The sequence below is a fragment of the Homo sapiens genome, chromosome 1 (genome assembly GCF_000001405.40).
Source record: "Homo sapiens chromosome 1, GRCh38.p14 Primary Assembly".
In the NCBI taxonomy this organism is placed as follows: Eukaryota; Metazoa; Chordata; class Mammalia; order Primates; family Hominidae; genus Homo; species Homo sapiens.
In genome coordinates, this window is record NC_000001.11 from 182,556,271 (window position 1) to 182,572,688 (window position 16,418).

Genomic DNA, 16,418 nt, shown 5'->3' on the forward strand with positions numbered 1-16,418 from the left:
GAGTTGGGTCAGGAGACCTGGGCTCTAGGTCTTGCTCCACATCTTCCTGGCTGTGTGCAAATCCTGGCTCAGGTTGTTAAAGAATCCCATGACAAATGGATGTAAAGATCACTGAAGGCAATCAGGAGCAAGGTGCTATAATTATCAGCAAGGACAGATGGTGTCTTTTAATGGTAGGATCTCTCATTTAGACAATGACTCACACCCATTGTCTCAGTAAGTCCTCACAACAACCCTGTGGGCAACCATGTCAGAATTCATTTATTTTTAAACAGTTAAAGAATCTGACTCACAGAGAAGGTAAGTGACTCTCCTAAGATTACTGGGCAGTAAATGGCAGCATCTGGACTAGAACACACCATTTCTGATTTTTTGTCCTGTTCTTGTTCTATGCCAACCTTTTATGTAACTTTTCATGCACAAAAGGAATAGTTCTTCCCGAGAGTTCTGTTCATTTGCCAACTAGTGGATAAAAAAACTTTAAGGTTTTTGACCTAAAGCCCTAAACTATTGTCATAATTTTAAATGAATAGGCCTATTTTCTCTCCTTTGAGAAAAAAAAAATCAGAAGTAAAATGAGTCAGAATTTCCTGAACAAGCCCTCCACCTGAGGTAACTGAGGACAGGTTGGCTTGTCATCTCTGTGGGTTACAGAATAGGAAAGGACTGGAAAGCTTTTTGGAGAATACTTTCAAATTTCTGGCCAAAGCTTCCTGCTGTGCCGAAGTTTTTTATTTCCCAGACTTTTCACAAGGATGAAAAAGGTGATGTTGGAGCAGAACTCATGAACACCTGAGACTCTGAGGTCACCTGGTGGGGCTGTGATTGCAGGAGATCCAGGAAGACTGTGGGCAGACATGACTCTAGAGGAGGCTGAAAAAAGGCCAGGTGTGGAGAGCCCCTTGGGCCCCTGGGAGAAGGCCCAGCAAGACAGGAAGGCCTAGACAAAAGGGCATGAGTCTTCCCTTCCCTATCAGGGCTAGAGCTTTAGAACAGGACTGCAATTAATAGAATGAAGAGTGGGCATGAAACAGAATCCCAGTTCCTAAAAATCAGGCAAAAACTAAGGCAAGACCCCAGGTAAGGAATAAAGAAGAGCTCAGTTAGTGGAATTGAGGTAACAGGGAAGCATTTCATCAAAAAAGAACAAGTCACAAGCCCCAGGCATGAAACTAGAGAGGATGTTAGGCCAGCAACAAGGTGACTGACAAGGATCTAGCAAAATACTAACTCGTGGTCACATACTGAAATACACTCACATTGGAGTGGGACATGGGTGAACCTGCATGTTGGCAATAGATGGGCCACACTTAAGGAAAAGAAAGGTACTTTTCCTGATCTATTTGAACTTAGATCTTTGCCCCATCTTCCTATTTCTTAATTATCTTTCTCTCCACATTCACCATGGTTATACTCATGTGTAGGTATGCAAACACACAAACATGTTATTTAAAAGGATTAATGATACTTATTAGGTCTTCCCTGAGTTGGAAAAAAAAATCTTCTCTTTTGTTAAGTTTTGTTGATTGCTTCTTTCGGTTTCTTACATGCTCCCTTCAAAGATCCCAGATCTAACATGTTCTAATGCCAGTTAGTCTAGTGTCACTAAGTCAGTCACCTGTAGAATACAGGCAGGGTGTATAAATGAGTAACGCAGTCCATGAGAGATAAGAAGGAGTGGTAGAGACTGTGGTGAACTGGAGAACGTGTCCCAAAGGGGTCAGAGACAGTCCGCTCAAGCCAGCCAACCTGGTGTTGCCAGAGCTTCTACTTAGGAATAAAAAGAAGGAAGGAAGGAAGGAAGGAAGGAGGGAAGGAAGGAAAAAAGTGAGAAATTAAAAATGTCTGTAACATTACAGTTAAAACAAAACTTAGTTAGGGACAAGACTGACCCACAGCCCAACAAATTGCATTCCTTGCTTTAATATTTTTCTTTGCCCTTGAAATTAGATTTGGGTCTTGGGTCTAGTTTGAATAAAAAATATGGGAGGGGAGGAAAAGGCGTCCCAACACTAGATCCAGGGGCCACTGCCGTCTAAGGAAAAGGCCAAGAAAGAGGGACCAGGTAAGGAACCTGGCCTACTTCAGTTCCTGTGTTAGTTTCCTTTTGCTACCATAACAAGTTACCAGAAACTTAGTGGCTTAAAACAACACAAATTATTATTTTACAAGTCTGTAGGTCAGAAGTCTGACCTGGGACTCAAGCTAACATCAGGGTGTCAGGAAGGCTGTGTTCCCCTCTGGAGGCTGTTGGGGAGGATCTGTTTCCTGGTTCATTCAGGTTATTGGCAGAATTCAGTCATTGTAGGTACAGGATGGAGGTCTCACTTCCTTCCTGGCTGTCAGCTGAGAGCCGTTCCCAGTTTCTGAGAAGCCACCTGCATTCCTTGGCTCATGGCCTTCTTCCTCTGTCTTTAAATCCAGCAATGGTGGGTCAAGTCCTGCCCGTTCTTTGAATTTCTCCTGCCTCTTCTTCTATCATCACATCTCTCTGGTTCCCTCTTCTGCCTCCCAACTCCCTTTTAAGGGCCCACCCAGACAATCCAGAATAATGTCTCTGTTTTAAGGTCCTTAGCCTTAATTCCACCCACCAAATTCCTTTTGCTATGTAAGGTCACACATTCACAGATTCTAGAGTTTAGAGCATGGATATCCTAGGGTGGTCACCAGAAATTCTACCGACCATGGTCCTAGACCACCTTCCTTAGAGAAGAATGTATGAACGCACAATCTGGGCCTCTGATGCGATTATTGCCTCCTAGAGACTTGGGAACACCATTTTTTTCTTTCTCTTGTCATAGCTCTGACTATTCTTTCTGATTCTTCTTCACATTTCTTCTGCTTCTTCCTTAAATATCAGTGCTCCCTGTGGCTCTCCTGTTGAACTTACCTTCTTACAACGCACTCTCCCATTTGCTTGAGATCCCTAGCCCCTAGCTTCTCCTCTAATAGGATCCACTGCAAATTTAATCCATTCTAACAGGATCCACAGCACAAATTTAATGTATCCCAAATCAGTTTTGGCCCCTTTATTTCTTTTCTCCAATCAACCCCATCTTCCAAGCTAGAAAACTCAGAATCATCCTCAACTCATTCCTCTGCCTCCCCTCCCATATTTTACATGCAGGAAAGGGAAGTTCTGCCACTCTGCCTTGGACATGTCGCTGCTATCCAGACCTTCCTCTCTATCCCACTGGCACTGCTTTTGTCGGGCCCTTGTCCCCATCACTGGCCCTGTGAAGTCACCACATTCCCCTCTCCACACACACCCAACACACTCTGCTTCATCCCACACACTGAGAACAAATCTGACCTGCTCATTTCCTCAGCGTGAAAGCTTTTATTCCCCTCCTTCACCTGGTTGGAAAAGTCTCACTCCTTTGTGGGACATACAAGGCCATTGCTAATATGGCCTCAGTTCAGGTTTCCAGGTTTATCTTTTTCCTCTCTCTATCTCATACACACCATTCTCCAGCAACTTGGTGATTGCCTAAAGGGCCCTTCCCTTTCTTCTCCATCACACAGACATCACACTGTGATACCTCCTGATTCCCCTTTCTCCTCTTACTCTCTCCTCTTAGTTTCTGAGACACATTTTTTCCTCTCCTTGAGATACTTATTCATGTATGTGTCTCACCTACTAGACTACATGCTTTTGTAGGGCAGAGACCAAGTCCTATTTTTATTTGTACCTAGAATAGACCAAGAACTATTTTTCACCTTACCTAGCACAGTGACATGCAGATAATAGTTGCCTCATAAATACATATTGAATGCATGACTAAATGAATTGTGCTGGGTGCTGGAAACGCAGTGGAGAAAACAGAATGTGAAGTTCATGCTTTCACTGACCTTATAGTCAGACTGTGCTATTAACAGAAAATCAGTTCAACTATCAATTACAGTTGTGACGACCACCATAAAGAAGAAATAGCAAATGCTATTGTCTTCATGAATTTTTCTGTATTCCAATAAATCTTGATGCTTTAAGAACTCTTTGTTTTTTAGGAATCTCATACAGCCCATTCAGACTAAAGGGTGATGGAAAGAAGCAGAGGAAAGCAGAAACAGCAAGAGTGACTGAGACCTGCTGTCATCTATATAGAAGCCTTTCTGATACATGTCAGAGAGTGACATGAAGTCTCCCCTCTTTATACACACGTATGAAAATACATCTATCCCTCATTTTGAGAGCCTCCAACTGATCCAAGTGTCATCCGGAGGAGGAGGTGGCCCGTATGTGCAGGACCTCAGGGTGCCAGCCCTCACCCATACACCTCCAGGGCTGCAGGTCATTAGCCAGAATAAAGGATGTCCACATTCACAATCTGTGGGCCTGCCATCCTCTTCATAAGTAAAAGAGCACAGGGAAAATGATAAGTTGCTCCCAAGAGGGCTCCCAAGGTCATTTCCAATCCAAATGATTCGTGGATACAATACTTCTTTTCCCAGATGAAGATCACAAGCCAGCTAGTCCCACCCAGTGACTTTAACACGTGGGCCCTCCCCCAGCAAACAGAGTCCAGACCAGAAGGCCCTGCACCCTCCGTCAGAGCTCATGGTTTTCCATGAGACAGTCTTGTTTAAATCCCATCTCTGCTCCTAGCAACTTTGTGATCATCAGCAAATTACTTACCCTCGCTGACTCCCAACACTATATGTGAAATGCAGCTGATGATGTCTACCTCATAGGGTTGTTTGAGGACTGACTGCATATAATGTAGTCCAAGAGCACAGCATAAGGCCAGGAACAGATGGAGGGTGGGGGACTTTAGTTGCTTTCCCTCCTTCTATCTTTTCCCTAAACTTTCCAGGACATGAAGGAAGTGGTTGGTCAGGAGTGGTATAGTGAATAATTTATTCCTGGGAAAACTCTGAATGTATTTCCTCCAAAAAGTTACATGGTCCTTGGGGGCAGAATGAAAAGGGCATCACAAGTCCCAGCTACATGGGAGGCTGAGGTGGGAGAATCACCTGAGCCTGGGAGGTCGAAGCTGCCATGAACCAAGATCGCACCACTGCCCTCCAGCCTGGGCGACAGAGTGAGACCCTGTCTCAAAACAAAACAAAACAAAAAACAACAAAACCCCACAAGATCCGTTTAATTCCTAACACATACATAGTCCTTTGGAAGATATCTGTGTGTTATATGTTTATTATTAATAGGGAGTAATGAGACTTCTTTCCATGCCCTCTACATGCACACCCTGAGTTCCTGACAGATACGTACTTTTAAAATATTAGTGAGCCTTTATTGCACACTCACTATGTGACAGCAGGGCTAGGAATTGTAAGCCTCATTCTATAGGCAAAGTAATGCAGGCAGGAAGATGCCAGCACTACACATCTTGTCAGTGGCTTCAAAATATGTGGCGCTTCCTGGTGTCCCGTGGAGATTCTGTACACAAAGACTCAACAATTTACTTAAATGTCAGAGGAAAATCAGAGAGTCTACATGAGTCATTTTTTTTCAAGAATTGTATTTGTGCCGAAATATGGGTTTGGGTAGGTGGAAATGAGAACAGTGGAACAAAAAAAAAAGATTGAAGAGATGTAGGACTGCCAGACTTAGCAGATAAAAATACAGGCACCGGGTTAAATATGAATTTCAGATAAGCAATGAGTACTTTTTTAGCTTAAGTATGCCCAAATATTGCATGGGACATATTTAACTGATACTAAAAAAGTTATCTGTTGCTTACTTAAAATTCAAATTTAACTGAACAGCCTATGTTTGATCTAGCAACACCCCCTGTTCCCCACCTCCAACCAAAATGGGATGGGCCTGGGAATTTGAACACACAATACTGGGGCTGGGACTGGGGTTGGGGCAGGGTCCCAGCAGGGATGAGAGGAGCATCTGCTTTGGTGGGGGAATTACTCTTCTCCAGTCCTGCCTCCTGAGGCCCCATCCTGGACTTTCTGAGGGTGAAAGTGAGCTATGAGTGCTGAGTCCCTGCAGGTGAAGGGAGGAGCAAGAAGAATCCAGAGGGCTACAGAAAGCAGGGAGGGAAGGGGAACCACAAGTCCTCTGGGCACCTTCAGGAGGGGAGAGGATGGCTGGGTGTAAAACATCAATTACACTTGGTCTAAATGGGCACTGATGGCCTCATCTGACAAATTCAGTGCCAATGATGGTATTGTTTCTGTGAGATATGATGATTCTGCTTCCAGCTACCATCTGTCATAGAAATTTGGAAATTAAACCCATTCATATGCTGCGAACTAGGGACCAGGGACTGGTGTGGTGCCATGGATAGTGAGGAAGGATAGAGGCCCCAGGAGAACATAGGAAAGGTCCCAGCAGAAGAGAGATGGCACTCTCTAATTAGGGTAATCTGAGATGGTTTGGTAAAGGGACAACTTACAAAGGCAGAGGAGAGTGCAGGGAGGTTGTGAGGGAAAGTGCAGTACCCAGAGCTAGTTACACAGGGGCTCCAGGGAGGTTGTGAGGGAAAATGCAGTACCCAGAGCTAGTTACACAGGGGCTCCAGGACCAACCCTGGGCTCTGAGGATAGGGCACCTGGTAGCTGCACCCAAGGACAGAATTGGGAAATCAGACCTCTTTGCCAGGGGGTTGGGCCATAATCATGAAAGACACAATCCCAAACGCTATAATCTTGAAGGCTGAAATCCTGAAAGATTTCACTATCCCTAAAGTCTAAAATTCAACAAATCACAAGCCTGAAAGCTCAAAATCCTGAAAACACAATTCTGGAAAAAATAATTTTAAAAATTCTTTTAAAATATTTATTTACATTTTAAAAGGGGATGTATTTGGAAGACATGAAAACACAGCAGAACTCTTCATAAGCCACTTGACATGATAAAATAGACAATGATAACATTTTGGTAAGTGTAAATACTCAGCTATGCTAATGACAGCCACACAAACGTAACAGTATGAGCAGACAAACCATAGTCATAAGGAAGCAAGTCAAAAACAAAATATATAATTCATATCACTATGCTTCGTAATTGTGTGCACCCAGCTTTATAACTGCAGTCATCTGAAATATTATGACACACAACCTAAGTATTTTGACAAGATCAGTCAAAAACCACACTAGGCCACTGCTACCACATACGCAGTTGCCCAAAGAGCTGAGATCTTGAGAAATGTTATCTGTCATAAAAGCAGGTGTACAAAAAGGACCATCTCTTCATTTACTGAGAAAGTTTCAATGTTTTTACATACATGGACAAAGTCAACGAAGGAGTCAAATTTGCAAAAAATGCATAAAACAAATTAGAACTCTCTAAAAGCCTTTACGCAATTTATACCCCCAGTATTGGAAATGATGCAAAGATGGAATACATAACAAATTGTCAAAAAAATGGTGACAATTTAAAATAGTAGGGGAACAAAACAAAACAAAACATAAAAACTAAAAAAATTCAACATATATAAAGGTATATTACATATTATGGGCAATTGCTCGGAAGTAGTCCATAAGAGTGGACCGACTTTTATGATCATGATATTTTGAAGTCTTGCATCTTGAATAGCTGTTTTTTTTTTCTTTTAGGGTGTGTCTCTCCTTGGAGAATGTGTTCACATTCATTTTCTATATGGCGCTACTTATTTTGAAATTCTTCTATGATTTGATATAAATGGACATGAGTACTTCCTATTAAATTTTCTCATCTTCTATGCCATGCTTCTATGTTGCTTTGGGTATTCATAAATCCATTCTGCACGCATTCATATATAAGACCACAAATTTGGCAGAAACAATCTACTGTGCAAACAGCAACACCTTTGTGTGTCTTCTTATCCTACAGTGTATGTAACTGTTTTCAAATCTGTCAGTAACTTCACTATTTACTTGTTGTTAAGATGGAGTGATGACTTCTAAGCTCCTAACAGACCAGATGAGAAACTGGAAGTTCCTGCGAGATTTTTTAATGCTGGAGCCTAAGCCCCACGCAACGTTCTGATTTAATTGGTCTAGGGTCGAGCCCAAGTGATTCTAACTTGCAGCCAGAATTCAGAACTACTGATTTGTATCACATACGCTTTATTGCTGAAAAACGAGAGACAGGCAATCAGAATGGGCACAGAGGACTTTGTCTTTGGTCAGTTCAGTCAGCCTTCTCTGGACTGGCTACAGTTCTGTAGGTCTTATTTAAAAAAGTGTTATCCATGTGGCATTTGTTGTTCTGCTCCTGGCCCTGCCATTCTCAATGATTTCTGTGTGTTTATGCTAGGAATTAGTGACATAGACAGCTTTAGACTTTTCTTTAGTTGTCTTCCTGATGATAACTCAACATTTCTGTGGCTTCAAGAACAGTGCCAGTTTGCCTCAATCTCTTTAGTCTGCAGTGACTCTGGGATTATCTCCAGGAACGTGACAGCAAATGTGCTTTACCAACTTCTTAAAAATAAACATAGTGATATCTTTCTCCCAAAGAAATATGTTTGTAAATTTTTCTCACACCTACATAGTCTCTCAATTTAACCCAATCTCTGTGGCATTTTACTTGGATTATTATAGCATGACTGTCAAATTTAAAGGTTTTTCTATGACATCATCTTTCCCCAACCTTTATTTAAAAAAAGAAAAAGAAAGAATGTTGTAGCAGGTAGGTACTCCATGATCTAAAATATGTCAGCAATTTCACATTATTTGCATCTTTTAAAAGATTTTTTAGCTGGGTGTCGGGGCACTCACCTGTAGTCATAGCTACTCAAGAGGCTGAGGTGGGAGGATCACTTCAGCCCAGGACTTTGAGGCTCCAATGAGCTTTGATCCCACCACTGCACTCCAGCCTGGGCAACAGAGGGAGATCTTGTCTCTAAAATTAAAAAATATATTTTTAAAAAATTTAACAACTTTTTTGAAGTACGATACAATTCACCATACAATTCACTCCTTTAGGTTGTATACGCTATAGTTTTTAACTGAATTCACAGGTTTTTACAGTCAATACAATCTAATCCTAAAACATTTTTGTTGCCCCCAAATGAAACCCCATACCCACTGGCCATCACTCCCCATTTCTCCTCACTATGCTCCCCAGCTCTGTGCTACCACCAAACTACTTTCTGTCTCTATAGGTTTGCCTTTTCTAGACATTTCACATAAATGGAGTCACACAACATTTAGTCTTTTGTTAACTGGCTTCTTTCACTTAACACAATGTTTTCAAGATTCATCCAAGTCATAACAAATACTCATTCCTTCTTATCACTGAATAATACTCCATTATATGGATATACCACTTTATTCATCCATTTATCAGTTTATGAACATTTGAGTTGTTTTTCACTTTCTGCCTACTATGAATAGTGCTGCTGTAAACATTCATGAATAAGTTTTTGTGAGGATTTATGTTTTTATTTTCTTTGTGTGTCTATCTAGGGGTAGAACTGATGAGTCATATGGTAAGTCTGTTTAACACTTTGAGAAACTATCAGAATGATTTCCAAAGCACAGTTTCACATTTCCACCAGGAATGTATGTGTTTCAATTTCTCCACAACCTTACCAAAACTTGTCATTGTCTGTCTTTTTTATTTTAACCATCCTAGTGAGTGCGATGTGAAACCTCATTGTAGTTTTCATTTGCATTTCCTTAACGGCTAATGATGTTGAACGTCTTTATGTATGCATACTGGTTGTTTGTGCATCTTCTTTAGACAAATGTCTGTTCAAATCCCTTGCCCATTTCTAAGTTGGATTATTTTTAGTTTTTCATTTTTAAGTTGTAAATGCTTTTTATATATTCTAGATACAAGTTTCTTATCAGATATGTGATTTGCAAATATTTTCTCCCATTCTGTAGGTTGTTTTTACACTTTCTTAGCGTTATTTGCAGCATAAACTTTCAAGCCTTGATATAGTCAATTTTCTTATTTTTTCTTTTGTAAGTTGTACATTTGGTCTTATATCTAAAAAACCATTGCTTAACCAAAAACCACAAAAATTTACTCCTATGTTTTCTTCTGAAGGTTTTATAGTTTTAGCTCCTATATTTAAGTGTATTATTCATTTTGAGTTAATTTTTGTGTATGGTGTGAGGAGGGGTATCGATTTCATTCTTTTGCATGTGTATATCCAGTTATCCCACCTCCATTTGTGGAAAAGACTATTCTTTCCCCCATAGAATTGTCTTCCATACTCCTGGCAAAGAATCAGCTTATGACCAACGTAAAGGTTTATATCTGAACTCTCAGTTTTATTTCATTAATCTACATGTCTGTTCCTATGCCAGTACCACACTATTTAATTATTGTGGCTTTGTAATAGGTTTTGACATCAGGAAGTGAGAGTCCTCCAATTTGTTCTGTTTTTTTCTTTTTCCAGATTGTTTTGGCTAAGTTGGGGCTGTTGTATTTCCATATTTTAGGATCAGCTTAATTTCTGCTAAATAAGTAAATAGGTAAATAAACAAATGTCAGCTGGATTTGATCAAGATTGCATTGACTCTGGAGTTCAACTTAGAGTGTATTGTCATCTTAACAGTACTAAGTCTTTCAATCCATGAACATAGGATGTCTTCCCATTTAACATAGTAAAATTGAGACTTATAGATTCTTAAGACTAAAATTAGCATTACAGGTAAGTCTTCCTTTGGATAACAGCTTAATTTGCTAACAGTTGAATAAAAACCCATTTTTTAATATCAAATCACTTTTTCATAGCTAATATTAATAAATGTTCATAGAAATTCTTGGCCACCCTCCACCCATACATACAATTTAAAATGATGCAAGGCCACATGCCAAAAGCATTTCAGTTAAATTGAAAAGGTAGAACAAATTTAAAAAATTCAAAGTGAAGGCAAATAATCTTGGAAAGGGAATGACTTTCTAAGCATAACACAAAGGCAAAAAGCTGAAAGAAAAATACTAATGTATTGTACTACTTAATGATCTAAAGTTTCTATTCTTCAAAGTTTCTCATAAACAAAATTAAAAGTACAATTTAAAAAGAGGACTACATAGAAGATACTTGACAAAGTGAATAATTTCGATATATAAAGAGCTCTTTAAAAATGACAAAAAATGAACACTTCAAATTTTTTGTAATGGAGAAAGAACACGGGCAGTCACACAAATCATTATCTACCAATAGAGGGTGTAAATGTTTGGCTTCAGAAGTAGTCAAAAAAATCCAAAATAAAGCAGGAGAGTTAATTTCTTACCTATGAAACTGATAGAGCTATTTTTTGTTCGTTTGTTTTTTAAATAAAGAGACTGCCTCTTGTTAAGTGTGAGGGAAAACAGACATTCTCATATAGACAAAAGAAAATTGTAAGTTGATGCAGCCCTTCTAGAATACAATATGCTAATATATTTCAAACTCATAAAAATATGAAAACTTTTAAACCAGTTATTCAAGTTCTAAATATTTAACTCTAAGGAATTAATCAGAGATGTGTGCAAAGGCTGATCTCAAATTAATTTTACTGTTGTTAATTGCAGTAAATAAAAATGCTAACTGTCCAGTAAGAGGGATGCAGTTAGATAAATCATGGTGCATGTTGCAGACAAGTATTTAATAATGTGAGAAAATATCCAGAATGGAAGTCAATGCAGATACAAAAGCTGCATTATGCTATGACTCAAGTTATGACTAATAGTATGCAGATATGTGAATCCATATTGTTATGAACATAATAATATAATGTATATGCATATTAAAAATACCAGAAGTTGGGAGACTGAGGCAGGAGAATTGCTTGAACCCGGGAGGCGGAAGTTGCAGTGAGCCGAGTTTGCGCCACTGCACTCCAGCCTGGGCGACAGAGTGAAACTCCGTCTCAAAAAAATATGTATCTATATCAGAAGTTTAACACTGATTACTCTGTGTCAAGATTACAAAGTGCTATTTATTTTATTCTTTCTTCTTTTCTAAAATTAACTTTCCCACAATGAACTAAAATTAAACATACCCACCCAGGTATTTCACATATTTCAAGTAATAATTATGTATACATTTTTACAGTAATATTTAGAAGGAAGAAAATAACTATATATATTTTTTAAGGAATAAATTATATGTGTGACATAGATCTTTGGAGTATTAGTCATATTAAAAATGGAAGCAAACTATAAATCAGCCAAAGGAAAATGTGTAAACAATCTTGGATACTTTAACCTGATAGAGTATTAGATATTCATTTAAATAATTACTATAAATCAATATGATGCTATATTTGTAATATAAGTAATTTTATCTAAGTAAAAATGCAGCATCAGAATGAACTAATACACTAGGGTGTCAATTATGTGAAACTCTCATATGCATGTAAATGAGTTCAAGATAAAATACAAAAAATTAAAATAGCTTGTTACAGTAAAAAGAGTGTGAGTATTTATGATACTTTCATTGTATTATTTATCAAATAATATGAATTATAACATAATTGGGTTTCTCACAGGACACAACTATTAAACTTATAATACATTTGATTACTCATTTTTAAATTGCCTTATGTCTTAAAGTTCAACTTTTTTTGCTTCTGGTCTTTTTCAACCCACATCATTTACCCAAGATTTTTTAAAAAGTAACACCCTACAGGTGCTATTTTGCTGTTCTGTTCTTTACGGGAAGTGAAAAAAAGCTCCCTCAGCTCTATGTGTTCAGGGCCCAGCACACAGCCAGTACTTACTGCATATCAGTGAGATTAATTCAAGTATAAAAACTGGTAAAACATAAGCCTCAATTTCCACTCAGATGTGGGTAACTGGCAGATGCCTGTAAGGCAAATTTCTCCTTTCGATTTTTATTTGTTTGCTTGTTTGTTTGTTTGTTGAGACAGGGTCCCACTCTGTTGCCCAGGCCAGAGCTCAATGACATGATCATGGCTCACTGTAGTCTCAGGCTCACACCACCACAGCTATTTTTTTTAGGTGGGGTTTCACTATGTTGCCCCCTTTCTAGAATGTATTTGCTACCCCTTCTCTTTGCTTCCACTTTAATCTCTTGTCTTTTTATTTTTTGTCACACTTCTCCATCCCCTTTTTCCTCCCTCCTCTACGCCTCCCTAAACTTTTTTCTCCTCTTTCTATCCTACTTCACCTCTTCTCTTTTCCTCATATACTCATACTCCTCTGCATTCCCGCCTTCATATTTCCCCCCTCCCTCCTTTCCCTCAACTTTCTCTCCCCAGTCCCATCTTCTTGTTCTTCCTATTGTTGTCACTTTTTTCTCTGTCTTCTGTTCCCTTTTTTCATTAGATGCATCATAAAAACACCAAATTGGAAGCCACTGCTAACTGTTCCTCTTCTTATTTCCCTTCTCCTCTTCATATTTTTAGTAATAGAACCCCCTACATTTTAGCTGCGCCCCTGGTTACCCAAGCAGAAACTTCATTCCCCAACCTCCCTTGCAGCTGGGTAAAGACATGTAGCTGAATTCCGCCCAAAGGAATGTAGGCAGAAGTGATGGAAGTAACTATTTGACCTCTCTTCCTCTTTCTCCCTGTTATTTTCTTCCTACACTCATTCAATAATCATTTCTCATTGCAAGGCCTTTAATACTATCATTAGATGACTCACGAATTTCTCCCCAGCCAATCTCCCTGAACTCCTGATCCACACATCTAACCCTATATGACATCTCCACTTAAACGTCTATTAGAAATATCACTTTTGTCATGTCCCAAATGAAACTCTTGGTCTTCCCTCTAAACCTGCTCCTCTGGAAGCCTTTCCACCTCCATTTAATAGCAGCCCTACTCCTCCAGTCACTCAAGGCCAAAATGCTGACAATTGTCCTGGACTCGTCTCTCTCACACCATATCTCACTCTGTCAGTAAATCCTGTTGGCTCTACCTTCAAAATACATCCCCAGTCTGCCTGCCCACTTGAAGTCAACCTCACTGCCGTCACCCAGCATCGGCTACTAAAGTCTTTGCACAAACTATTTAATAGTCTCCTAACTGATCTTCCTGTTTTTACTCTTGCCCTCTGCTTTCTGTTCACAGAGGACCCAGAGTGATTCTTTTAAGTGTTAAGCTACATCATGCCACTCCTCTGCCCACAGTCCACTGAGGGCTTCCCATCTCAGTAAAAACCCAAACCCTTCCATGTGCTTTGGGGCCCTCCCTCCCTGGTTCCCTGACCCCTCTGTCTTCCCTTCTTCTTGCTGGTCTTTGCTCACTCTGTATGGCAACCATGCTTTTGTGCTCCTCAAACAGCTCAGGTATGAACAGGCCCCAGGGCCTCTGAACTGACTATCCGTCCCCTCTGTTTGCTTTCCCTCAGATACCTCCACAGCTTGCTCTTTTGCTTCCTTGCAGTTTCACTTGGTAGGCTCCCTCTTGATGCGGTCCACCTGACCCCCGTCTTTAAATTTAATCTACTTTCCCTAACTACCAACTCTTACCTTGCTTAACTTTCTTCCTGCTTACTATTACCCTCTAGTATACTCTGTCCTTATGGATGTTGGTTTTCTTCCCCACCCTGCTCCCACCTCATGAGGACAGGGATTTTGGTCTTATTTGTTCACTGACTTATGGAGCGTAACTTCCTACTTCCTGGTCTGCTGAACAGCTGAGGCATTAACATGAAAGACACATAATCTTCTACCTTGTCTGAGTCACAGTCATTTGGTCCCTGTTAAAAGAGCTAAACAAAGTCTTCGCTAATTATTCAGTTTCACAAAATGTATTTTTTAAAAGACTTGATTCTCAAGAAGAATGTTCAGTGAGCAGAAAGTGAAATTCTCTGTGTTTATGTCTCTCATTGCTTTGGGTTCACTCCTGCTGTGGACATCAAATCACTTCAAGATTCGTGGGTTAAATTTTTATAGGCCAATATTAGTGGCTAACATAGTAATGTTATGTTATTATTTTTGAATAAATATTATTAATAAATAATATTAAATATAAATATTATCAACATAGACTCCTGTTGATGGTGTTCTACAGCCTCAAAAAATCCAATTACTTTGCTTTTTCCCCACCCACTTCTCTCCTCTTGTTAGTACCATCTTTGGGTCTTGTTGGGAACAGGCCCCCCAAAATCTGGCCATAAACTGGCCCCCAAATTGGCCATAAACAAAATCTCTGCAGCACTGTGACATGTTCATGGTGGCCATGATGCCCGCACTGGAAGGTTTTGGGTTTACTGGAATGAGGGCAAGGAATACCTGGCCCACCCAGGGTGGAAAACTGCTTAAAGGCGTTCTTAAATCACAAACAATATCATGAGCGATCTGTGCCTTAAGGACATGCTCCTGCTGCAGATAACTAGCCAGAGCCCATTCCTTTATTTCAGCCCATCCCTTTATTTCCCATAAGGAATACTTTTAGTTAATCCATAATCTATAGAAACAATGCTTATCACTGGCTTGTGTTCATAAATACATGGGTAAATCTCTGTTCAGGGCTCTCAGCTCTGCAGGCTGTGAGACCCCTGATTTCCCACTCCACACCTCTATATTTCTGTGTGTGTGTCTTTAATTCCTCTAGCGCCATGGGGTTAGGGTCTCCCCGACCGAGCTGGTCTTGGCAGGCTCTTTTGTTTGTTTGTTTTTGAGACAGAGTCTGGCTCTGTTGCCCCGGCTGGAGTGCAGTGGCCTGATCTCTGCGCACTGCAACCTCTGCCTCCCAGGCTCAAGCTATCCTCTCATCTCAGCCTCCCAAGTAGCTGGGACCACAGGCACATGCCGCCAGATCTGGCTAATTTTTTTTTTTTTTTCATTTTTAGTAGAGACAGGGTTTCACCTTGTTGCCCAGGCTTTTCTTGAACTCCTGATCTCAAGTGGTCTGCCTACCTCAGCCTCCCAAAATGCAGGGACTACAGATGTAAGCCACCATGCCTGGCCCATCTTTTGGTCTTAGTCTAAGCAAATAGGCCATAAAGCAATGAAAAGTTTACACAAATGAAAAACACTGTGGAAGTGATGAAAAAACATTCCTTTTAAAAAAAAAAATATGGCCGGGTGCTGAGGCTCATGCCTGTAATCCCAGCACTTTGGGAGGCCGAGGCAGGTGGATCACGAGGTCAGGAGATCGAGACCATCCTGGCTAACATGGTAAAACCCTGTCTCTACTAAAAATACAAAAAAATTAGCCAGGCTTGGTGGCAGGTGCCTGTAGTCCCAGCTGCTGGGGAGGCTGAGGCAGGAGAATGGTGTGAACCTGGGAGGTGGAGCTTGCAGTAAGCTGAGATTGCACCACTGCACTCCAGCCTGGGCGACAGAGCGAGACTCCATCTCAAAAAAAAAAAAAAAAAAAATCTGTTCATGTGATAGGAGAAGACCAGAGGAGCATAAACATTTGCTGCAAGCCTATGGTGATTGTCTTAGTCACTTTTGTCTCTTGGGGTCCTGGTGAAGACTCTCATTGTGGCTTGCAGATGGACACTTTCTTTCTGTGTGCTCATAAGGCAGTGAGAAAGGAGAGCTCTTTCTGTCTTCTTATGAGGTCATTAATCCCAACATGAGGGCCCTATCCTCATG

At 40.3% G+C, this 16,418-nt stretch overlaps 1 protein-coding gene across 12 annotated transcripts in view; it reads left to right on the top strand.

Annotated features, from left to right (window-relative positions):
• RGSL1 (regulator of G protein signaling like 1) overlaps positions 1-4,327 on the top strand; it is a 112,721-nt gene extending 108,394 nt beyond the window's left edge. For all 12 annotated transcript variants that reach the window (XM_017001193.3, XM_017001191.1, XM_017001192.3 and 9 more), the window contains one exon: positions 4,009-4,327. The gene's annotated coding sequence lies outside the window, so the exon portion shown is untranslated. The remainder of the gene's footprint in view (positions 1-4,008) is intronic.